Source organism: Homo sapiens, chromosome 11 (assembly GCF_000001405.40).
Source record: "Homo sapiens chromosome 11, GRCh38.p14 Primary Assembly".
Classification (NCBI taxonomy): domain Eukaryota; kingdom Metazoa; phylum Chordata; class Mammalia; order Primates; family Hominidae; genus Homo; species Homo sapiens.
In genome coordinates this window covers 15603295-15628675 of record NC_000011.10, presented here as the reverse complement: position 1 = coordinate 15628675, position 25381 = coordinate 15603295, and the positions used below count along the sequence as shown (strand labels likewise).

The following is a 25381-nucleotide window of genomic DNA, read 5'->3' as shown; positions in this document are numbered from 1 at the left end:
GAGCCGAGAAGAGAATTTAAGTGGAGCTAGACTCAGAGACTCCAGGGTCTCCCACAACACCATCAGCACTTTTCCTCCTCCTCCCTGCCATGCCTTCCCTCCCCTTTGAATTGGCTCAGCTCCTCTGTTGAGTTGGTCCTATTCTTTCCTCCTACAGCTTGCCTTCCTCCGTGCACCCAGGAATGGTGGTGGTGTCGGCTGACATGGCGGCAGACAGCCGGAGGCTTACAGCATCTCGGCTAACACCAGAAAGAAAAAGAAAATTTTTCTTTCTAAAGTTTGCACACAAAATCCCAAGGAAGTTTTCTAAGTTGCCCTGCTTGAGATGGGCTCTCATCTTCAAAGGGTTGCTTCAGAGCCTTAGGTGAATGCTTATCTGGATGCTTTAAAAAGTGCCAATACCTGAGCCCTGTGCCCAGAGATTCTGATTCAATTGGTCTATGTGGAGCTTGGCTTTGTGCAAATGATTCTAATGGGTAGTCAAGATCAAGAACCACTGCTTTAGACTCATTTGTTCACTTATTCCTCAAAAAAAAAAAAACCCACACATTTTTGAACTCCACCCCTGTGCTAGGTAGTATACAAGGTACTGATAGAGCAGTGAACGGGAGAGAGAAAATCATTCTCATGAAGTTCACACAGTACAGGGGAATACAGGCAATGTACTCATTAATAAATAAGTAGTGCTAGCAAATAAAAAGTGCCATCCAGAGAATTAAAACAGGATCAATGTATGCATGATGGGACAGAGCCAGTCCTCAGCAACTTGGAGGGAAGAGCATTCTGGGCAGAGGGAACAACTACTGCAAAGGCTGAGAGGCAGAAACAGGCTTGACCTATCCCAGGAATGGAAAAAGGCCAATGTGGCTGAAATATGGTGAATGAAGGAAAGAGTGACAAGGGATGAGGTCAGAGAGACCAAGAGCAGCCAGCTGCCATGGGGCTTAGTAAGCCAGGCTGAGGAATGTGGATTTCATTCTCTAGGCAATGGACTATTAGCAGATATGAAGGAGTGATGGGATTTGATTTACATTTTTAAATGTTTATTCTGGCTGCTGTGTGGAAAAAGGACTAGGTGGGGTAAGAGTGGAAGCAGGTGGACCAACAAGTAGGAGACAAATGCAAATGTCCAGGTGAAAAATGCTGTTTGCTTGTACTAGGTAGGTTTTGGGGAGAAGTGAATGGATCCTGGCTAAGTTTTTGCAATTGAGTTGACAGGACACCAGAATGTAAGCCCCTTAGTTTTTCTTTTGATATCCCAAATATCTAGGGTGGGGAGAAGGGGGTAATGTATTTGAGCCAGTAAGTGCTCCAGAACTCCTTGTTAAATTAATAAAACCAGAGTCCAGAGGCACGAGGATGGAGGGGAAGGAATGGAAATAAAACTCTGAGCCTGCATAGCCAAAGAACAGACTCCTCTGATGGAGGCCTGTGCCCAGCACGGTGCTAACACATAGAAAAGAGGAGTGGAGGGAGATGCAAGTGCTAGCTGGAGGAAAGTTTATTTAGTGGCTCTGAAGCTTGTCTAGGAAGCAAAAATATACAGGAGAGAGATCCAGAAAAGGCTTTCAGCTCTGCTCCCAGGCAAGAGGTTGGACAGAAGAAGACACTGCATCACCATCACAGTAATGAGATTTAACAACTCTACTAGTCCAAGTATAACTAGTACAACCAGTCAAGAGAGCTTAGTGAAACTAAGTAGGGATATATCCTGTGATCCAGCAATCCTAGTCTTTACCCTGTTACCCAGAAATCCTAGCCTTAGTTCAGTTTTTAGAAAAATTCCTATGTGGGTCCAACTGGGACCCTGAGCAAGGAAGTCTGTCAGGATAAAGCTCAGAGTAGAGTGAAGGCAATACAAGAGTCCATCAGTGGAAAACTGGATACGTAAAATGAAGTAGATGTTACAAAATAATATGCAGTTGTTAGAACCATCAAACTCCATGTGTACAGAACAGCATGGGAGACTTTAAAAACATAGTGTTGAATGAAAAGCATGTGAGAACACCATAGATTAAACATAGAATAATACCAATATGTCAATTAAAAACATATACACTAATGGCATATTTACAAGGAAACGTGCATATTTCAGGGCATATGTCAAGCACGTTAGAGTAGATGTCAATGAGGACAGGGAATAGGTGTAGGATTAGGGATTATGGTAAGGAGAATAACATCCCTCCTCCAAAAATGTCCACGTCTGAATTCCCAGAAACTGTGAAGCTGGTTGGTTACATGACGAGTGGTAATTAAGGTTACAGATGGAATTAAAGTTGCTAATCAGCAGACAGAGAGCATATCCTGGGTTATCCAGATGAGTTCAATGTAATCACAAAGGTCCTTAAAAATGGAAGAAGGAAACAGGAGTCAAAGGAAGATATGACTAAGAGAAGACAGTGTAAGAGGGACTAGGCCCGAAGTTGCTGGCTTCAAAGTTGGAGGAAGGAGCCATGAGCTAAAGAAAGTGGGAAGTTTCTAGAATCTGGAAAAGGCAAAGAAACAGATCATCTCCTACAGCCTCCACAGAAGGAATGCACCCTGCCAATACCTTCACCTTGCCCCAGATCATCTCCTAGAGCCTCCACAGAGGAGTGCACCCTGCCAATACCTTCATCTTATCCCAGTGAGATTTGAGTTGGACTTCCCACCTATAAAACTGTAAAGTAATATGTTTGTGTTGCTTTGAGCCACTCAGTTTGTGGCAACTTGTTACAGAAGCAACAGGAAACTCATACAAGGGTAGAGGGAGTCACACGGACTGATGGGGTAACCAACATGCCATGAACCAAGGAGTCTGAATGACTCAGCTCTTCTCTTCTAAGGTTCAAAACAACAGCAGTAGCAGCAGCAACAACAACAACAATGTTCAAATTGAAGGGAGAGAACAAGAAAAGAAACACTCTGAAAATATAAAACCATATTCCATGGAAAACCACGGACCTGAAAGTAAGCATTCATTGTGTTCTAAAGACCAAAGTAAGAACCTTATAAGCATGATCTCTTTGTTGGTTCTTGGAGGACAGGATACTGGGACTGGCTTTCTGGTGCAGGGGAATGATTGATAATAATGATGATAATCCCACGAATCCTGTGCGTGTCTCCTCCTCCAGTGAACATCATTGCCCACTTCTTTAAACCTGCAGAGAGAGCCCTTCCCTCTCTCTTCTCTCCCCCTTGCCTCTAGCCTCAACCCTTGTTCCTGACTCACTCACAGCACCAAGCACAGTACCTGGAGCACAGTGAATTGTGATCTCGTATAGAGCTGAGCCCATTTTGATGCTTAGGAAAGCTTCCGACTATCCTGTTGCCCACCACATCCCAGAGATTTTGTATCAGCGAGTCCATTCATAAAGGAACCGTGGGACTTTCATGAGCTATTTCTTCTAAACAACTTAGAGCAACCCTCAGAGGCCCCAGTGTGATGTTTGTGTGTCTAATTTCCGTGAGCTATTGATAAGAGCCCACTCCAGCGAGCTAGTTGTCAGCCTCTACTCCAAGGGCCTGGAAAATGTACTATTTGCAATTACTTGAAAAGAAACTAATTAGCTCTAAGGAGGAAACCATAGGTAGAAATGACTAAAATCAGCTGTTCAACTGTGCTTGGCAAAAAATTAAAAGGAGTAGGTAATCTACCTCACATTTGTTTTATTTGAAAGAAAAGCAGGAAGAAGGGGGACCTAGGCAGAAGGGGTTTCCATGGCATTTTCCCTGTAGGCACAGGCCTCTGAGCGCAAGCAGTGTCAGCCTACCTGTCAGGAGGCTAAAGGTTATGACGTATCCTTGAATGCTATGTTTGGACTTTGTTCAGTGTCAGGCAAAGGAAGGTATTTGAAAGGAGAAGTGATGATTAGCTCAGGACTGTTTACGTGGTATTGCTCTTCAATATAAGTGTTGGACTTCTGTATTTGGTAAATAAGTTATGTGTTCTCTTTTAGAAGTAGCCACTCTGAATCGTTTTTCAAGACAAATTAAAAAAAACACAATATTACCATTTCTCAAAGCCTGGCACTTGCCTGGTATACAGCAGGCCAATGGTAGCAGTGAAATAAGGGGTCAGCACCCTGGCCATGGTGCGGAAGCCACCTCGGATGAGAGAGGTTTGCAACAATCTGGAGGAGAGATGAAGAGGCAACAGCAAGATAGCAGAGAAAAAATGCTTCCGACGTGAGTCAGAGCAATAACAATTCAATAATAACAATACTGGAACTGGACATTTATCAAGTGTTTGCCATATGCCATGCTTTACACGCATTCTCTACTGTTATTTCCATTTTACTCTTAAGAAAGCTGAAATTTAAGTACTTGCCCAAGGTCACATGGCTCCTAAGTGGTAAGTCGACTGTTCTGAGTGCAGAAGAAGACTCTGAGCAAAGGATCTGGGTGTCAATTCATTTGCAAGGTGACTCCATGAAATAACCAGTAAAGATGAGAAACATGAAATACAGAATGGAAAGAAGATAAACATTGAGTTATCCAGCTACTTACCATGATGAGCAATTGGGGCTCTGTCTTGCTGGGGAACTCTCGGAGATAGAGCAGAACACTCTTAAGAGTTACTATTCCATCCTAGAGGCAAGAACACTACGGTGTTCATATATAGATCCCTTATCTGCCATTGGTTGATGCTGCTTCAGGGACATTAACCCTCCACCCTTCCTGCTTGTCCTGTGCTCAGGCTGCTCATGCTCCACAGGTGCTTGCGGTAAGCAGCTCTCAGCACCAGAGAACTAAGGTCACCATCAGCATCTGCTACAATGATCCCACATCCAGTTTGCCTGGGACAGTCTCAGTTTATGTCTATTGCCTGGGAATAATTATTAATTTCCCTTTTACTCTCAGAAGTGTCCTGCTTTGGATAATTTATATGGCCACTCCTGTAAGAAAAGGAACAGATTTTCAAATCCTACTTCATGTGGTTCCAGAATCTCTGCTTTTTGCCTCTTTCTCATCCTCTGTGAGTGCAATTGTGGCTTTCCTCATCAGGCGCTGGGCAGTAGCCCTGGGTGAGGTAGGAGGATGTGGGTCCTGGACGATAAACGGCTGCTCCCCAGAACCTAGAGCACTTCCGCAGGTAAGTCCTGGGTCACCATATCAGCATTGCAGGTGGTGCTGATTAACACACAGTTTCCTGGGCCCTTTCCTTAACCTCCTGAATCCAAATCTCTGGGGCTTAGGCCAGGTGATCTGCATTTTTAGCAATCTCTCTGGCTAATTCTTCTGCACAGTAAAGTTTGAAAACTACAGGGCTAGCAAAGGGAGACAATGAGTGTTAGCATTTTTTTTTTAAAGCAGCCAAGTGGGGTGGTTTATAGCAGGGTCTCTGAGCTGCCTTGCCTAGTTTAAATCCCAGCTCTGTCTCTTACGGCTAAGTGATCTTGTGCAAGTTACTGAACTTATGTGTTCCTCATTGAAAAAACAGGGATAATAATAGCATCTACTGTATCAGGGCTGTTATGAGAATTAGACAAGTTAATCTATACAAAGCCCTGAGAACAGTGCTGGGCACGTAGCAAACACTTGAAAATGTTAGTTAGCATTATTACTGACTTTTAGCATTATGCCAGTGATCTTACCTAGGCTGTGGTATTAATCCTCAGAACAGCCACACAAGGAAGGCATTATAAAGGATTTGGGGTAAATAACTGATGCCAGCTGCAGGGTTAAAACACAAACTGGGGAGTGGAGGTGAGGGGTGGGCTGGGACATGATCCCAAATCTGTTACCTCTGCCTCTGAAGTCCTGGCTGCCTCTCTGATATCAAGCTGCCCTTGGCAGTCTCATTCCCTGTATCCACTGTGGCATCCAGTTTTTTGCCCCAACCCTCGGGTCCACCAGGGACTTTTGGGCATGGGGAGGAGGGAGGCAGCATATTGGTAGTGTTTACCTGCTGCATCCAGTCCGCCTGGGCTGGGTTGGAGCTGCTCTCTGGGATCTGGTTAGCAGCTAATGATCAGTGGGCTCTGGCTATAATGATCGGATTAGCTGCGCTTTAATCACTGTCTATTGTTTCAGCAGGGAGAGAATTTCACAGCTCATTGACTGCTCTGACTCCTAATCTACACCGAGGAAACAATGTTGCAGCTCATCAAATGCAATCAGCTGCTAATTGAAAGGAAATGGAATTTTACAATTACAGGCCACCTTTCAGTGCTCAGGATTTCTAAGCACTTCTCCCCACCTTCCTTTGCCAGCTCAGCACTGGCAGGAGCACTTGACAACCTGCTAGAGACTTCCCTAAAAGCTGCATTTAGGACCTGGCCCGTTCTCCCCAGCTCCAGAGCAGCAGCAAAGGGAAGCAGCGTCCTCGCCAATACCTGGGCTGTCCTTCAAGGCTCAGTGCAAGGAAAAACACCTGGGTTGGACATCAGGTGAGCTGAGTGCTGGTCCTTGTTCACCTTCCTCCATGCCTTGTGGCAGTGTGACCTTGGCATGCCCCCCTTTCTCTCTGTGCCCCACTCCCCTTCTCACCAAAATCAAGAAGCTGAATTTGATGACCTCTTGGTTCTTATCAGCTCTGATGATTCTGTTTGTCTTGTTCTTGCCACTATCCCCATCCAATGGAAGACATCTAAATTGACACCCTCTTTCTTGCCCAGCTATCTGCTGTTCCAAATGCTTCCAGGGTGACTGTCTTAGGTCTCCCAAAAGATTTATCCTGATGAGATTTTAATGGGCCAGAAAGCAAATTTGGGAAATATCCTACTCAGCCTTCTGATCAGACATCTCTCTACCCGTCCTGGATCCATTCACTTCCTTGGACAAATATCAATCATGATTAAATCTAAAGACAGTCACATAGATGTTTCTGGGTTCTGTCTTTTTCCCAGTGAGATTCTGTGGAGACAAGGCTGGGATGAGGGCTGCCAGCCAGAAAGAGCATTGCTGCTTTTGACCCTGTCTCAAAGCTCCATTTCCAGTCGGCTTTTCCTCTGAGAACAGGACTAACTAGCATCTGCTTTGAGGTCTGGTCTGTGTCATCCCACAATAACACTTGTTCTGTCCGGGAACACGTCTGAGGCTCATGTAACCCTGCAGTGCCATTTTCTCTTGGTTCCCATGATCTGTGGGCTGGTCTAATGTGCTTATCGGACACTGGAATATCACCACTTTCCTTTAGGCTGATGAGTTATGGCGTGTATCAAAAAAATTTTTTAAAGCACAGTCAAAAATATTTTTTGTTTGGCCAAGGTTCAGTCTCAGTCCCATTTCCGTCTATTAGAGGAACACTCCATCAGGGTCTTAGTCTGACCTGTTGCCTAGAAAAATGGGCTATAAATGAGGAAAAGAAAGGCAGTGATGGGCTGGCTGGATCTCCCCTCTAACAACACTGCAATGAGCAGGCTGGGTCCAGGAAGCTCCTGATGCTTTTCTGGAACTCTGACTTTAGGGAAGGCTGGGGAGAGAGAGGACAAAGGCGGGGTCTCCGTTAGGATGACAGGGGAGGAGAGTGTGAAGGAAGCTCTGGAGCTGTGGGTTTGCACTGTAATGTAAATAGGACAGGAGCTGGACGTGGGTCCAGGTGGAGGCAGGAAGAAGACCACTTGGGCAGATCCCACCTATAGGTCTATTGGCCAAAGGGTCAGGGTTCAGAAAGCCAGTGTGATTACCAAAGGTAAGAGTGATGGCCTAAAAAAGGGAGGTTAAGAGCCTGAGAGATGTCAGAGGGCAGTAAAAAGCTGCTGTGTTCGAAGGGCCAGGAGACACTGCCTCATGTTGATACCAGCCACTGCTCAAAGGCCTGCCCATCCTGGAAGAAAAGTGCTGGTTGTTATCAGAGCTGGGATTGGTCTGTCCACTGTAGGTAGAGTGGACACCAGGAGAAATTCCACTGGTGGGCATAATGTGGCATCCAGAAAGTATGAAAATAGGCACTCTATGGTATTTCAGAGATGTAGTTGGCATTTGAGGTCTTAACCCAGACCCCAGAATGTTCTGATGTGTAAATGGAACAAGATGATGGAGGTTCAGACAGATTTTGATCAGGGAGGCAGCCCTGAGATGTCTAATGCTGTTTAAATAAAAGTTGTTATTAAAAAAAGAAACTAAGGAAGACAATTTACATTTCTAGGTTTTTAAAAATCTTTTTTTGTCTTGATCATCATTCTGTTAGGTATTATATGAAATTTAACATTAAAACATTGGTATTTTGTCCAAGATTGGGATGCACTGAATTTAGAAGAGCCTGAGCAGTGTAGGTTAAGATACATTTTTTAGAAAATCACTTTTTAAATATAACTGGAATATTTTGTGGGGCTACCAAATTTTGAGATACTATAGATAAGTCTCATGGATAAAATTTTCACATGTCTGCTTTCAGCTTTGGGGTACCTTCATTCATTCAACAAACATTGATCAAGTACCTATTACCTGTTGGGTACATGCCAGTGAACAATACAGGCAAAATAATTCCCTGCCTTCTGGAGCTTACCTGCTGGTGCTAATGCAGCATTTGTTTAAATTAGTCAATCTTCATTTCATTTTAAATACACTAACATTTTCTATCTTTTATTAATAAATAAATACTTTTAAACATTTGACGTAGAAATGGTCAAGTAGGTACATAGTTATCAAAATATTTTAGGGCATACATAAACGAAAAAGTTTGAAGTTTACTGTGATAGTCTATCTGCCATGCAGAGCAAAAATTTCCTCTATAATGTGCAATTGCCAAATTGTTGCCGAATTTTTGCTTGGTCTGTCATGATACTGAACCATCACATTCTTTTCCACACAACTCTGAGCAGGTGGAAAGTTCTTTAGCTAGGACTCCTGTACTTCAGCATCTGCCAAAGGGCTCTCTTTCTTCCCTCAGGGGCTACTTAGAGCCTAGCTGCACAAAGTATGGTCCTCAGGCCAGCATATCACATCACCTGGAGGCTTGTTAGAAATAAGGAATCTCAGAGCCCATCCCATTTTCCCTCAATTAGAATCTGAATTTCAATAAGATTTGCAGGTGATTTGTGTGCCCATTTAAGTTTCAGAAGTACTTATAGAGTGTATGTCTGCTCTTCATTTCATAAACAGCAGCTTTTCAGTTATTTGAATAGCTACTCAACTTTTTGAGGTTAATCTTTTCTTCTCCAGGCCAGTTTGGTGATGAGGTAGAACCTCCAGGTAGAAAGCAATGTCTGCATATTGGAGGAGTTCTGCATGAGTAAGGCTTGGGCCCAGCACTTGGAGAAGCTGGCATTATAGACTGGGCAGTAGTTCTGTCTCTACCAATATTTGACCCCTGCTGCTGCCGCTGTGGGCCTTACTTTGGGCCAAAGCCAGTGGGCTTCATTCTTGACCAACGTTGGTTAGTTCTGAGGTCCAACTGTTGAACAGAAAGAGCTCTGGCCTTTGAATCCTATCTGCACCATTGATTGAATAATGTACTTTGTAGTTTAAATTAGACCATACCGAATAGACCCTCTAGATTTAGCAGAAACACATTCTGTTGTTTTGGCATAATGAACAATGCAATAAATGTGAAAACCAGAAAGTTGTTCGGGATCCAAGATGGCTCTAGAGACTGTCCTTCAGAGACCAGAGTTGATTGCTTCTACCCTCTTGCTGCTGCCATCTAATCACCCTATTTGCACTCTATGCAAATTTCATCTTTGTCTTGCTCATTTCTGTTTACTCATAGCTTCTCACGTCTCATGGTGACCAAGTTGGCCTTCTCCTTTTGTCTTTTATCTTTTGCTATTAACTGACTTTCCATATCTCAAGTTCAGATATTTGTTTGCTCATGACTAACATGTTAGTGAACTCTGTTTATCAAAGTTCTCCTCCTATGCAGTTCACAAGGTACAATCCAGCTTCCAGAATGGCTGTCTTGGGTCTGTGCCCTCCCTAGATTCAATTAGATCCGAGGCTGGTGACTTACGAGGAAAGAGCCCATAGAAAGGGCTCTATGTATGGCAGTCCAGTTCAGTACATTCCTCATCTCATTTATTTGTTCTTCAAATATTTATTGAGCATATATTTATGCCAAGCACAGTACCTAGAATAAATACAAAGATGTATACACAAGACATAATCTCCTGTATTGCAAAGTTCACAGTCTAGTGAGGGAGGTAAACAAGCAAATAAATACCTTTTACACAGGATAAATGCTACAACAGATATCTGTATAGTGTGCTACAGGGATGAAAGAGAAGAGATCAATTCTACTTGAAGGTGATAACGGAAGATTTCACAGAGGTGAAAATAAATGCACTGAAGAGTAAGGTTGAGTAGAAGATCTCAGGCTGGTTAAGCTGCTCAGAGTGTGCTGGGGAGAAAGCTGGCTATGCCTTCCTGGTATGGTTAGAGGGTAAGGTTTGGGCTTCCAGGCCAGAGATGATTTAGCAGGGTAGGGATCAAGTTACTGTGGGCTTTACTGGTTTTGCTGAGGAGTTCGGCTACATTCTTGGAACAAGGAGAAAATCCCTGAGTGATTTCAGTAGGGGAATATCATGGTCAGATTTATGTTTTGGAAGGAGACCACTTCAGTGGCAGAAGTAAGAATGGATTGAAATGTGTGACAATGGAAGATGAAGACCAACTAGGAGGCTGTTACCTGGAATGAGAAAATGAGGGTCCAGGTGAAAAATGGCAAAACAAGTGCACACATGCTGCTATTTCTTGAACAAAGTCCATGGTAGATATTGTTAATTGATCATGGCACTGCCCCACTGGATCATGGATCCATCTGGATCCAGGTGAAATCTCACCATCCTACCCAACTTAGTATATGAGGCAGACATTTCCAAAAGATCAATAGATGAAGCCTCTTTGCAGCCTAGGTCTAGTCCAAGTCACTGACAGAGAGGGAATAGGAGAAAGAGGCTGGATGTGTTTATGTACCCCCAAACTATCCAGAGTCCTTTCTTTGAGTTGTCTCTCTTACTGCTAGACAGATGTGTGATCACATCCTACATTGCATTCACTTAAAACTGGGTAGTGCTTTAAAGCTTACAATAAAAGTCTCTTATTTTAATTCTCACTCTAACCCTACAAGCAAGGCTGGGAAAGAAAGCCTCACTTTTCTTTATATTCAGCCTAAAAAATTGAAGCTTAGAGCAGCTGGACATCTTTAGCACTTTGGGTTCTTATGGCACTTTCATCCCTTCAACAAGCATTGCCTGAGAGTCTGTTATCTTCAATGTTGTATCATGCACTAAGGATATAGCTAAACATGACTTGGTCTTAGTAATTTTTTTATTACCCATACTGGATTTATCTGAGTATATTTGTTTTATACCTTCTTCCAGATTGTCAGTTCCCTGAGGGCAAAATCTCTGGAAAATATTGCTGTTCCTAATCACAGCCTGGTCACCGCACACGAGAACGCCCCACAGAAACCAGGCTTGTGGCCTGGATTTGCCTAACCTTGGCTGAAACATCAGAGCTCAGGGATCTAGTTGCAAAACAGCCTAGAAGTCTGTTTCTGATCAGCCTGGTAGCCATCTTTAATGCCTGCTAGTCATTTAGACTGGCAGAGAGTAAAGGCCTATCCCCCAAATAGAGTGTAAAACCACAACCACAACCCATAAGACGTTGAGACGTGCAAATCCAGCAATTACCCAATGGCAAGTATGGGTTTGCTGAAGGGCCGTCTCTTACAGAACCTCTACATCTAGATCCACTTGGGTCACCCTCCACTGAATGGAGATGGACACCCATGGGATGATTGACCCTTCAGCTCCACAAACCCTGACAATCTCAGAATCCTGAGGATGACTTTGAACTTGAATGCTTTGTAAGTCTCATATTACCAAATCGCTTGGGGGATTTGGCAAGAAAGAGGAGCAGTGGGATTGGCTGGCAGTGATGTAACAGCCATGCCAGCACCGCCTGTAAGTGACTGTCTGCCTCTTTGACTAGCCCTCACCCCATCTTGATTTATACATGATATTTTATAATAGCCAAAGCAACACTCAAAGAAATTTCCTTAGCCTCAGCCTCCCACCACCACCCCAGGCATGTAATAATGTCCCAGAAATACACAGCCTGTCATGTCTTATTACTTAAATATAGGCCTGAGAAGCTTCTCTACATGACAGCGTGATGTGAGTGCTACCCAGGAATGGCCCCGGGGAAGAGGGAGACAGAACACTATCATCTCAGCGTTCTTAAGCGGAGTTATCTCCCGGCATCATTCCAATTAAAGCTGGAAAACATGGAACCATGGTGCCCAACTCTCCTTTCTGGCATGTCAGGGTAGAAACACAGCAAGGGACGTGGGCCCAGAAGTCCTGCTTTGTTCCCCAGGTCTGCCACTCATTGCCTGAGTGTTTTGGAAGAGTCGAGCTTTCTGAGTGGCAGTTTCCTCCTCTGTAGAATGAGGCGTAATGACACAAGTTGCCAGGCAGGTTTTGGACAGGATCAAGTGAAAACACTGTAAAGCAGAGCTATGCAAAAGCAAATATTATTTAATAATAACGATAATCATCAATTTACGTTCCTCTTAGCCTCCATAAAACAGCTATTTCATACTGAATGGTATTATCAACCTCAAGTGTATATTTTACAGTTTTGCAGAGGACTTCAATAGCCATCCTCTCATATTTATTATTTCCCATCTATAAAGGAGGAAAGTGTTTCTTGGACAGTTTTAGTGAATCACCCAAGTCACACAAGCAGTGAAGGAGCAGAGAGGGGCCTTAACTCCCATCCTCTGAGCCTGAATCTGATGCTGTTCTTCATGTGCACTCCACAAGTAACAGTGGAAGCAATGGTTGGTGCCACTGTGTGTGGGGATGCAGAAGGCAGAAGGGAAAAGGCTGGCCAGTCTCCACCCCAGCCACGTGGGGCTCTGTTACTCTGTGCCAAGCAAACCCCAGGCCTTGGTCCATCTACACGGGGGCAACTGCAGTCTATACCTGAAGCTTCTATCTTAAGTAATTGTGTTCATTGGTGTTATTGTGCCCAGGCCCCTAGTCCTTTGTACTGTAACTGTCATCTGTACTAATTTTACTAAAGTAATCCTGTCCACTGGTTCTTTGGCACTGAAAAAATAATGTGTCAAGCAAACACTTTGTGCTGAGATAGCTCTGCCCCCTGGTTAGTCTGTGCTTGGGTAACTGGGTCACCTTGTCCTTCTGCACAAAGGCATCCCTGGCTTTGTTCCCTTTGTTCTCAGGAATTCATGTGCTCTGGTCCTCTAAGTCAATGTTTCTGGGCCTGGAATGTTTCTGAGCCCATTGCTCCTGGATGCAGGCAATTCCTGAGTTTCCCTGGAAACAGTCTGAAGCAAATGCAATTGCATTTTATTTAGGAGTGGAAGACACTTGAAAGAGAGGTGACAGAGTAGAATAGCAAAGGAGAGAAGGCTAGTGCAAGTATTTTGTGGGGAATTGGCTGCTGCTGTGAGCAACTGATGCTCATCTCACAGGGCCTTTGGAGAAGCTGCATGAAATGTGTCTTGAAACTGTCAACTAGGAGTATGAAGGGAGAACATATCTATCACTTCCTTTGGTCAAGGGTAGCCCTTGGGTAATTTACTTGCCTGCATTTACAGTTGCACATGCATATGGCTAAGCAGGGCCCATGGTTACTTCTCCCCTTCAATCAGAGAAGCCCCAAGGCAGGAGAGGGAGTACATGATGTGCACCCAGGTGAAAAAAGCACTGTGAGGTAACCCTGGAGAGAATCTGGTCAAGATCCAAGCAGAACTGGTAGAGGTGGGAGGGGCTGGAGTAGAATAAGAAGTGGGACTGAGCAGATAAACAGCAGTGCACAGGAGATGTCCGGGCCATAAAAGCATCATCTGGTCCATCTGGAGCTCATGACTTCAAGGTAAATGTTCACCAGAGCCTGCATCCCTGTGGGCATCTGAACTGACTGATATAAGGCTATCAGAAGGCACTATCCCTTAGGCTGCACATCCTCAAAGCTGTGGCCTAAAAGGACTATGCTTGGATGAATCCAGTCATGGAGTGAGTGTTTGATTCCAAGGTGACCAGTTCTCTCTGTGACCCGAATCAGACACCAGGAGCGGCACAAGCCATTAAGGGTTTAATAACATGATTATGACAAGGTGACATAGTGTGGGAAACAGAGAGGCACTCAGCAGCCTCAACAGCATGCTCCAGGCCTCACTGAGGGCCACTCCTTGAAATGAAGGGAGGTATTGAAAATGCAGAGCAGAAAGATTGATAATTATTTGAAACAAGCTTAAACATTTGGATTGCTCCAACCGCCTTAAATCACTCTGCCATATTTATACTTGACTAGTGTTCTACATAACAACTTCGAAATCAAAGACTTTTGAAAAATTTCAATCACTGTGTTTTGAAGTGATTGAGAGCTCAGGGCGTGAGCAGTGTAGAAATAAGGCATATTAACATTATTAGCGCAACAAATTTCCTGAAGTAGTTACATTAAGAAATGATCAAGGCCTTAGCCTCTATAAAGGAGAGGGAGCAGTATGTGGCTCAGGCGTCTGGTTCTGAAAGAATCTTAACTCTTTTGATGCTGAAAGGAGATCAGTAGTCTGAAAACTGATGATTCCAAATGGATTGTGTTGTCAGGAAGAGCTCTTCTGTCATATTAGTGCAGTGGAAGAGAAGAAACTAGAGAGAGAGAGAAGGAGGAAGGAAAGAAATCATAAAAATAGCTAACTCTTACAACAGAACTTACTACATGCCAGGTGCTATTCTAAGTGCTTTACATATATTAATAACTTGTACTTATTCATCCAATTTATCTTATGGGGGTTAGCCAACCCCATGAAGTAAATACTATTGTTATTCTGTTTTACAAAGTGGAAAGACATTTGAGATTCTATATTTAGATAGTCAAGAAGCCGGGATATAAACCAGACTCACCCCAGAGTGTCTGCTTTTGACAATGGGAAGGATAAGATGTATTTCTAGTCCCCTAATGTGCCAGAAACATTTTCTCATTTAAACCTTTGAAGAACCTTCTGAAATTTTGCCTCTCATTCAACAGATAAAACAGAAGCCCAAATAGACTGGCCAAGGTTACATGGCTTATGAGTGGCAACTACAGGATTTTAATTCAAAGCTGTCTTTCTGGAACTCTAGTTCCTTTCTGGGATGTTTGTTAAGGCATGGGTTGCACTCGATATGCAGAAAGAACTAAATAATCATAACATTAACATGTTGAAGTTAAAGATGTCTTTCTATCTACTGATATCAGGCAACCAGCAAAGCCTACTGCCATGAAACCAAACACTGTTGCCAACAATAATAATTATAAGAATTCCAGGCTATCATACAAAACCATCTCACTAGTATTTATGGCTCTACCCCCCTGGAGGGAGTTAAAGTGAAATGTAAACTGTTAACAGATAGGATCTCAAGAGGTTCTTGACATGGGACTCAGATAAAGCTCCAGTTTAAACTTGACTCAGAAGGCAAAATTTTCATAAACTGAACATTCTGTTCCCCTTCTATCAGTTCTGTCTCTTCTGAATAGACCCCTGAGTTGTCCTCTTCTCATTAGGGTGGGCAGGGAAAGATGGAATAGATACCCAGTGGCCTGCACCTTAGTTCTGAGACATCTAGCCCCTCATCACCTGGTGCAAAAGGAAAGTTTTCCCTATCTCTGACGTCTTTAGCTATTCTAAAAGGGTTCTAGCAAGACTTCTGAACACTTTCAGGCTATCCACTCTAAATAATCTGGAGTTTTAAAATGCTAGATAGAACAAATGCAATTTATTTTTCTCTTCCTTCTCTTGTTCAAGGCAGGCTGAAACCTTAAACAAGGCTTAAAACATAACAGAACTATTGATACTTTACCTATAGTGTCTAATTTAAACCTCACACTCATTCTCTAGGGTCAGAATTATTATCCTTGTTTCATGGGTGAGAAAACTATTGGACAATTATACCTCATCTATATATTAAGAATGATTTAATTTAAGCAGATAATAATAGTTGCTCAGTATTGTTTTTGGAATGATTTGATGATTGATTATCAGATCAATTCCAAGCTGTGCCTGTGGTGCAAAGACCACTTCCTTCAGATGTTGGACCACTATTGCTTTCTATGAGTCACCCTGCAGCTACCCTGGGTTTGGGAGACTTGGGGGCCCTTGCTGGGCTGAGAAGCCTCATTATGAAAGGATAAAATCTCAATCTTTGTCAGAGGCAATCGTGTGTTATAAACATTAATAATACGATCAGCTTCTATAGAATTAATGCCAAAAGCTTCTCCAGATCAGTGGATTTTCTTAGCTATCCCTAATGTGAATACACCCCCGTGAAATTGTTGGATGCAGCAGTTACCAGTAACTTCCTCCGATAGCATTTGGGAAATCTGGATCACAACAACATCCCCCCGGATTGTAATTGAATGTTTCATGTCTGTCTTCCTCGATGAATTCTAAACCTCTTGAGGGAAAGGACTATGTTTTATTACCCATAAGTATTAGTTCTATCAACTCACTTGATGATGGGTGAACTGTACCCTACCACACTCAACAGCTCTAGAATCCACTGGGTTCTGCTAGTTTCTCTTCTCCAGATTGCAGCATCCTTTACTGGGTGGCTCTGCAGTGAACTATAGCACAGTGTGAATTTATGAAGCTTTTCTCAGATTTTTGTTTTTTTTCCCCAAAAGACTGATTTGCTTATCCTTTGGTACACAGTGTCCTTTGGACTAGGTTGAATAAGAAGACAATAACACTGAAGTACGGGGTAGTGAGGTTGTGGTTGATGTTAAGAGGTCAGGATTCTAAAGGCACATCTTGGCAGGGTGAGGGGGAGTATTTTTCAGGGAGGAAGGAAAGGGGAAATCAGTGTTGCAGCAGGTGGCCACGGTATTTGAAAGCTAGGTGAGCTGAAGGGCATGGTTCAAGACCAAGCCTGTGAGTAGATTATGTCCTAAGGTACAGCTTTTACATAGTATCTGCTCCATGCCACGAGTCAAGGTAAAGTGGTAATAGTCTGGGCACTCAGAAAATTATGAGGGGTGCTGCTCTGACTATCTGCCAAGCCTTCTGCCAAATATCAGTGTAACGGGCTATAGTCCAGTTACTGTAATGAGATTTTGCATTTGAAGTAGCTGCAAGTGACTACACTTGTAGGATTTGCTGGACTTTGGTCAAGTTGTCCTGTGCATCACTTATGACCAGGATTCTTGGAGAGAAAATGGGATGAGGAAGCAGCCAGCAATCAGTCCTGCATCCCAGAGCACACAGACCCCACCTCGGGACAAATGAATTGAATGTGACAGTGCTTTGTAACACTCTGTAACAAGGTGTTACACAGATGTGAGGGCCTTTATGGTGAATATCACACAGGATCTGAACAGAAGTGCTGGTGAGACCCTTGGTACACAGTGCTATTTGAACAGTAAGCTCCTCTGCTGGGCTGAGATTGTGTGAATCTTTAGCCCAGAAAAACCAAGACCGAACCCTTGAACTTTTAGGCGAGTACAGAAATGCAGATGATTATTCAGCTTCATCTTTGTTTGTTTTGGGTTCTGTGAGAAAGGCTGCATAAGGGAGGAGATGCACAGAAGGAGTTCTCCAATGAAGACAACCCAAGGACGTCTGCAACCTTTACTCCCTCTCCCTCGTTTGTCATTGTTTCAGCCGTCTTCCTCGTCAAGCTTTTTTCTTGGCAAGCTTCCTGGGATGACTTCTGTCGAAGTTGGATGATTATTGTAATATTGGATTCCTATAGCTCTGGACAGATCCCAGAGCCCACACTGCTCTTCATGTTTGATCTCTCATTCCACTTTCTGGAAGAAGTTGGCTGAACTGAGGATCAAAGATTTCTCCACTTGCTTCTCTTTCTCTCCTATGACAGCCTCAGTGCTAGCAGTTTAGCACAACAGCAAATTAACTCCTTGACTGATCACTTGCTCAGAATTTTTCAAATCCTTTCAGAAAAGGCAGCTGAAATGAACCTAGATTGCATAGGAGGAGATTTTTATTTCAGCTTGAATGTACCTTCAGGTAAACACATAGTTCAGTTTTCATCCACTCCAACGGGACCTCTCAAGGGAGCTTGCTCATTTTGGCGAAGTGATTTTGTTTGCTGAACAAAACTCCTTGTAAGAAATTGTCCTATAAACACAAATAACTTAGATGGTTCTGTGGAACTTCTTAAATTCTGAAATGCTCAGACTGGAAACTTAAGAATTTTCAATGATGACTTGGGCTTTCCAGAAAAGAGGCATATTCTTGTACAAAGAACACATATATGATCAGAGAATCTTATTTTCTGTTAATAAGATTTAACTAATACTCTCGTAATTAATTGTGTCATCTTTTCTCCCTCTGGGCCTCAGTTTTTTAAGTCAAGCCATCATTCAGGAAAAAAACCAATTCTTAACTTTCTATGATGTGTCTGGCAATGTGCTGGTTAGTGCTCTAGAAGCTTGAGCTCCAGAGCACTGCTCCTCAGTCTCGAAAATGTTTACTAATCATCTAAGGATCTTGTGAAAATACAGACTCTGATTCAATATGTCAAGAGTGGGACCTGAGATTCTGCGTTTTTAACCAGTTCCTGTGTGGTGCTGATGCTGTCAGTCCGGAGAATGCACTTTGAGTAGAAAAGTGTTGGAAGGGCTAGTGTTCTTGTGTAGATCAGGAGAATTTCCAGCAGATTTTAACATCAGTTTAAAGGGAAGTCTCATATGTAACAGAGAGAAATTGAATTGTTTTGGATGAAGGAGGGGAGTGTGGTAGAACTTTGAATCTATCCAGCTCAGCCCTCCTCCCTCGCCCCTGCCTCTAGCCTCATTCACTGATGAGGGAACTCACAAGGCACTTCCATGGTACCACAGAAGGTGCAGGCTGAAACTCAGAGCAGTGAGTGATCTCTGGACATACTTCTCCCATTCTATGGCTGAGGATGAAAATGTAGAGAAATGTCAATAGCATTTTAAGGGAAGGAAGGAACATGGACCCAGGGATAGCTAATCTTATGTGTGGACTTGGCTAGGCCACAATACCCAGATATTTGATCAAACACAAGTCTGAATGTTCTTGTGAAGGTATTTTAAAGATGAGATTAACATTAAATCAATGGACTTTGCGTAAAGCAGATTACCTTCTATGATATGGGAGGGCCTTGTTCAATCAGTTGAAGGCATTAAGAGAAAACAAACTGAGGTCCCCTGAGGAAAAAGGAATTATGTATCCAGACTGCTTGGACTCAAGACTGCAATATCAACTCTTCCCTAGGTTTCCAGCCTGCTGGTCTACCCTGAACATTTTGGACTTGCCAGCCCCCACAATCTCATAAGCCAATTCCTTAAATCACTTTCTCTCTCTCCTTTCACATCCTATTGGCTCTGTTTCTTTGGAGAATCCTGACTAATACAGCTCCTTCAAGCATAAAAGAGTTGACTGAAATAAAACCCTCTCTTCTAGCTTAAGGCACCCATGACCATTTGATTCTGCAAATGTGTGGTTTGTGATCTGTGATCCCAGGTGTGGTCCCTGTGGCATGAATCTGTGGAAAGCCCACACTGGCCCTCTTACCACACCTTCCTTTGTTGTAGTGAAACATGGAACCTGGCCTAGGTCTGAACTCAGCACAACTGGGTTGTTGTCTCTGCTATTAACATCCTGGGACTTGGGAGCAAGCCACTGTCCCTGACTGGGCCTTGGTGTCTTCCTTTATAATATAATATGGAATTTTTTAAAAAATAATTTTTTAAAATAATTTTCTGAAGAATATTAGGATCCTATAGAAAAAGATCTGTCACCAATTAAGTTTGGAAAATGCTGCCTGCATCATCCTCTCGTTTGAGAGTCACAATGAACATCCATTTCAAAGGCCCTGAGAAGTCTTGCAGCAAAGAAGCCTCCTTGATTCTTGTCCTCAAGCTTAGTTGATGCCCAAATGCTAACACCTAGCAAATCTAGCAGAGACATATTTTGGGAAATGTAATACTAGATGGTTGTTGTGGCTTACTTCGGCTCTCTGATGATTTATTCTTTTCATATGATTCACAGATTCAAAGACAGAAGCCAAGAGAAAAATTGGTCAAAATCTTTTCCATAATACTTGAAGGGGGGGTCCTGCTTTTTACATCCCTAAAATAGGAACGTTAATAGAACTTCCCACACTAGGTTGTTGTAGGGATTAAGTTAAAAAATGCATGTAAAGCTCTTAGCATAGAGCCTAGCACCTAGTAGTCAGCCAGTAACTTTGTTTAACCTTGAGCCAAAAATGGTCATATTTGAAAAGTTCAGTTCTAAGAGGAACTCAGGCATTCAATCCTTCAAACCAAACCCAAACCATTTTATGCTTGGATTATTTCACCCTGGGTGAGGGGCAACTTCCAGGCATTTGAAAGCTCTGACATCCTGCTGGCAACCCAGGAGCATTCTGAAGCCAAGATACTAATGATTTAAGCATTAATAAATCCAGAGATAGGTCATTCAATTTTCTTTTAAATGCAGATCATAAAAGAGGGAGGAATATTTGGGTAAAGATGTACTGAACTTTTTTCTGAATCTGAAGGCTTTGAAACATTTTTGTAAGCAATGACTAGCGCTCCACTGCATTTTCTCTACTCCGGTGTTCGGAGCGGGGATATGTGAACCTTGAGCAATAGCCTACTTCGTTTCTGACCCTGAAAATACTCAAAAAGTTATGTTGTGCTTGCATCGCATTTTCAGCCTGTCCAAGGATTTCCACATCTGTATTTTCTCTTCAACCTTTCAAAACCCACTGACTTAAGAAAGGCTGGCAGAATTGCCTATTTAACAGATGAGGAAACTGAGGTCCAGAAAGTTACATGATTTGTTCAAAGTCCCAAAGTGAGTTGGCTGAGAGGCTGGACTAGAAATGCCACTCCCTGACCCCCAGTCCTGGGCTCTGTCTACTGGACCTCACCGCTACACAGGTGATCCACTGTAGCGGGAGCACAGCCCTGGGATCTGAGCAGCTTGCATGCAGGATGTAGCAGATTGGTATGCAAGCTTAGTGGGCTCTGGCTAATCTTGCAGGGAACCCTTCAATCTGAATAACAATCAACAAGATTTTAAAGAAATTTGGGCCAATTTCCTGGAAGTCTATGATTAATCTAATTGCTGGGTTTTCCTCTGTTTTTGTCTCCCACTGTTAATTTCATTTATTTTTTTTCTTTCTTCCCCGACACAGACTGCCTTGTCTCTATACGCGGTTTTGTCACTGTTGTTATTTGTCCATACATAGTTTATCATTGGCAATGCATTCAATGGGATTATTGTACTCTATGTTTGGGGAAAGAGAATCTTTCAATAGAGACAACATTACACAGCAGGAAGAAAGAGCACTGGGCTGAATTTCAGAGACACTATTTCAAAGCTTCACTTTGCGAATACCTGCTATGCCTCCCTGGCTCCTCAGATACCCCAGGGTTAAGGAGACCTCCTGCTTCTCCTGGCCCATCCCCCATTACCTAATATCTGGAGTTATGAGAAGTTTTAGGGGCTGCACTATGCTGCCAGCTATTGCAAATAAATGTTCAAAAATAGATTTTGGTCAAATATAATAGAAAATGCTTCTTTTTAGCAAGGGGGTTTTGTTCTCTAGAGGACACGTTAAAGGAATGGGATGGTGATAATATTTTTATAACCAGATGGACAAAGGTATTCCAGCACTTGGATGAAGACAGAGGTGAAGGAATGAGTTGAGGAGAGATGGGGAGAGCGAAGGAAGGTGTCAGCACTGGCCATGGCTATACGTGTTAGAAGGGCCAGAGGTGATCGAAGAGGTCTGGACAGAGATAGAGCCAATCTAGTGTATTCATCAGGTGAATGAAGAGTGCAGCCAACTTTTCTGTCGCCTGTGTCTGTTACCTTGCATGTGCCTAGCTTGGAAGCTTAACTAGTCACTGGTTGGAACATGGGAGACCACTAATGAGCAACTGGCCTGACCAAATCAGACCAGCATCAGAAATGGTAAACTCTTTGGGATAGCAGAGTGGCATTGCTATTGGGTTACCCAGGAGAGGAGAAGGTGAACTTGACTGTAGGGCAGCCAGTCACCCCTGGTCACCTCTCTGCAGCCTACCACATGTAGATCCTACTTCACACCCCATAGGCTTTCTGGAAAAATGTGCCGTGAAGTCATCCAAGATCTTGATTCTTTATTCAGTCTAAGTCTTACTCAAGCATTAAGGGGCCTTGTTTTTGTCGTCGAAGACTAGTACTGTCCTTTCTAACCAACTAGCTGCTGGAATGCTGGGGAGGTGTCTAGTTCTTGGTAGGTAACCCAAGAGGCAATAATAATAATGTCCCTTAATGTCAGGCCTTGAATGTGTGCCAAGTACAGACCTGCCTTATCTCACTGTTTTCTCCCTGAGTAGATGTTCTGCTAATAAATATTTATTTGGTATTTGATAATAAGAAGCAGCTACTTAATTTGCAAGGTCCAGTGCAAAATGAAAATACAGAGCTACTTAAAAAAATATAATTGGGAATTTCAAGACGGTAAGAACAGAGTGTTAAACCAACTGCAGGGCCTTTATGAGGATGGAGCCCTGGGGGAACACACAGGTCACATGCCCATGAAACAGGCTGTGCTTATAATTTTAACTGAGATGTAGAGATATGAAATAATTTCCCCAAGATGACAAAGTTAATAAGCTGAGGCTCTGGCTGCAGAACCTGAACTCTTAACCCCTCTGCAGAATTGTCTCAAGCTAGATAGCTGGATAATGGGTGAATCCTCAAGCCCTGCCCACATTCTCCTGAATAGGCAAAACTGGGAGGAGCCAGATGATCCCACTTAAGGGGCCTCAGCCTGGTTGAGCTCTGTCCACCACTCGGGAGGCTCAGTGAATAGCCTGGGCTCCAGCCCCTGGTGCTCAGCACCCAAGCCTGCACCCTCTGACTCCAGAGGCAGCAACTTCTGCTGAACCACAGTTGCTTCATCTAAAAACAACAGTAGCTACAAAAGCAACAATAGTTAAAAATGCAACAGCAACAGCAATGAACAAACCTGCATATTTGGAAATGGCTTGCTCAGTTGGACCACAGCCCTCTCCCAGACCCGATGAAAAGGAGACATATGTACTTATACACACACACACTCACATACTCACTCACTCCAGGCTATGTTCCTAGTTGGGGTCATTGGTCCCAATTGCTCTGCCTTTGCCCCTACGGTGGTGACAGAGATTGCGTAGGAGTCTTCTGCCATTTCTCTTGGACTTCTTGTCCTGGGGTCCCAATTTCTCTTTTACATTTTCTTCCAGGATCCCAGAGCTTCCTATGCCTCCATATCTCAGAGTTGTCGAGACGTAGAAGCAGGCTAGGCTGTTGGCTCTTTCTTCACCTCTCACAAGGTGGGAATGTGCAACTTCACTCTCCAAAGGGCAAAGGGGAAGGCTGCCACCAGAATCTCTCCTAACTAGACTCTGTGACACTTGTATGACACTTGGTGATACTTGGCACAATTACAAATGGGACTAGGGTGTGAAGTCAGGAGGCTGTCTGGCCTTTTGCCTAGAAGGGGAGGAACACTGCCATGGTGTGAGGTTGAGAGGACTGACCCTGAGCTCTACTGGGAATGGAAGATGCAGCAATGAGTAAGGCAGATGTGGCTCCTCCCCTCCTGGAGCTTGTAGTCTAGCAGGAAACATAGATAGCAAACAAATAAGTTTTACAAACAATCACTTAATTATAATTGTGAAAAGTAATGGGGAAATGCAAAATGATTAGAGAGTGTACACGCAGATGGCCTGATCCAGTCAGATGTGTCAGGCATGGTCTGAAGAAGTAACATTTAAGCAGAAACCTCAGCGAAGAATAGGAGTTAGCCAGAAAGTGGGTGGAGGGAGGTGCTGGAGAGGATGCCTACAAAGAAAACAGTGACCCTAAGCCAGGCATGTGGCTGGCCCTCACCTCAGTGGCACCAGGGAGGGTCACTAGGAGAAATGCTGCGATAAAGAGTGACTACTTGGTTGAAAAAGGAATGTAGAAGAGAATGGCAGATGGAGAGAAGAAAGAACAACTGAAAGAGGGGCCAAAGAGAGCAGGGCTGGAGTAGAGGGCAGAGTGAGGTAGATGGGGATGACCCCTGTAAAGAGGAATGAGACAATTACCAATCCCATTTCTAAGTCAAATTCCAGGTGCTAACCCTTAATTCTCAACTGCGGGAGAAGTGGCCCCAGGCAGAGCTTGAAGCTTCCTGCTCCCTCCAACCAAAGGCACTGCTAGACCACAGCCTTCCACGGGAAGCACATTCAATCCCTCCCCTGCAAGGAATTATAACTTTCAGCACTTCTCACCTTGCATGAAGGTAATCGTGATTGCCCAGGTGTGGCGTGAGGATTGAGAGAGAGAATGCTTATAGAGCACCGAGCGTAGTGCTTAGCATGTGGGAACACTCCAGAGTGTCCACTGCTTCTAACATTCTAGAATGGAAAAAAATATGGAAGCTTTGGTGTCAGAATAAACCTAAGTTTGAAACCTGGTTGTCCCGTTCATTTTGTGATCTTGAGTTGATTACTTCACTTCTCTTAGTCCCAGTTTCATCATCTATTAAACAAGGACCATAAGGCTTACTAATGCAAAGATCTATGGCACACGGTTAATAACCATTCCTTCCTCTTCATTTGCTCTTAATTTCTTAATTTATTTGTAAATTCAACCTCTTTCAACATTTGAGGGAATCAGGGTCTTCATGCAAGCAGGATGCAGTCCGCTCACTGTCCCTTCCAAAGGACCTTGGATCCTGTCTGGAAGATGAAGAGTTCTCACATCTACTGCCCACAGTTTGCAAAGCCCATTTATATGTGTCTCAGAATCATCTCAGAGAGGGGTCTGGAGGCAGGAGTTATCATCTGCATTTCCTGGAGAAGAAAACAGAAGCTCAAAAAGGTCTATTTACTTCTCCAAATCATGGAATCCATAACCCATCTACTCCTCACCTCTACACAGGGGAGCACACCAATTAACAGCTACAAAAAAAAAAAAAAAAAAAAAAAAAAAAGCTGGGGTTTACACTCAGAAAAAAAGTTAAGTGAGTTTCCTTGAAAGTATTCTTCAATGGGAACCAGTTTGGGGTAGATGTGGATTGGTAAAGGTGACAGAGAGTGGGGCAAAGGAGGTGTGACAGATCTTACCCGCTCATTATATTCAGCAAAAACTGAATCCACCAAAGCCTAGAAAGGGCTAGGAGTGTCTGTGGGGGCAGGCAGATTCCAGGGTTTTCTGCCACAAGAAGTAAACTCAGACACTACTCCTGGCCCCTCCCTCCCTCCCCTGCAAGAAGAGCCTTCCTTCCCACTAACCCCTGGGGCTCTGCTCACCCTCCCACCTGGGCTCCATCCAATCCTGCTCTGCTCTTGCCAGGGGCTGGAGTGCTGGTGGCCGGCTCCTCCAGCTTGCCTCCATTGGCCTGAGTGCGTCCTAGCCCACTCTGGATATTAGAGCATTCTCTCATTTGAAAGGCTCCTTTATTTTTAGTGCTAAATCAACAAAGCTGTT

The 25381-nt window shown here is 43.5% G+C and overlaps 2 long non-coding RNA genes across 8 annotated transcripts in view, besides 1 other annotated feature; one reads left to right on the top strand and one right to left on the bottom strand.

Moving 5' to 3' along the window:
• Positions 1-25381, bottom strand: part of LINC02751 (long intergenic non-protein coding RNA 2751) — a 152600-nt gene that overhangs the window by 76697 nt on the left and 50522 nt on the right. For 3 of the 6 annotated variants that reach the window (NR_169508.1, NR_169509.1, NR_169507.1), the window contains exon 1: positions 4489-4571. The exons of 1 other annotated variant lie outside the window; for it this stretch is intronic. This is a non-coding gene — a long non-coding RNA (long intergenic non-protein coding RNA 2751). Of the gene's footprint in view, positions 1-4016; positions 4113-4488; positions 4572-24506; positions 24745-25381 lie in introns of those variants that run through there. 2 more of the 6 variants (NR_169503.1, NR_169504.1) reach the window with 2 other exon arrangements.
• LOC105376568 (uncharacterized) overlaps positions 4949-25381 on the top strand; it is a 51914-nt gene continuing 31481 nt past the window's right edge. For both annotated transcript variants that reach the window (XR_931075.3, XR_931072.4), the window contains exons 1-2: positions 4949-5074; positions 6016-6371. This is a non-coding gene — a long non-coding RNA (uncharacterized LOC105376568). The remainder of the gene's footprint in view (positions 5075-6015; positions 6372-25381) is intronic.
• Positions 5740-6369: an enhancer, noted in NCBI's record as "NANOG hESC enhancer chr11:15643853-15644482 (GRCh37/hg19 assembly coordinates)". NCBI's record gives its function as "activates a minimal SCP1, AML or CMV promoter by ChIP-STARR-seq in naive H9 embryonic stem cells {active_cell/tissue: H9 hESC(naive)}" and the evidence as "EXISTENCE:reporter gene assay evidence [ECO:0000049][PMID:30033119]".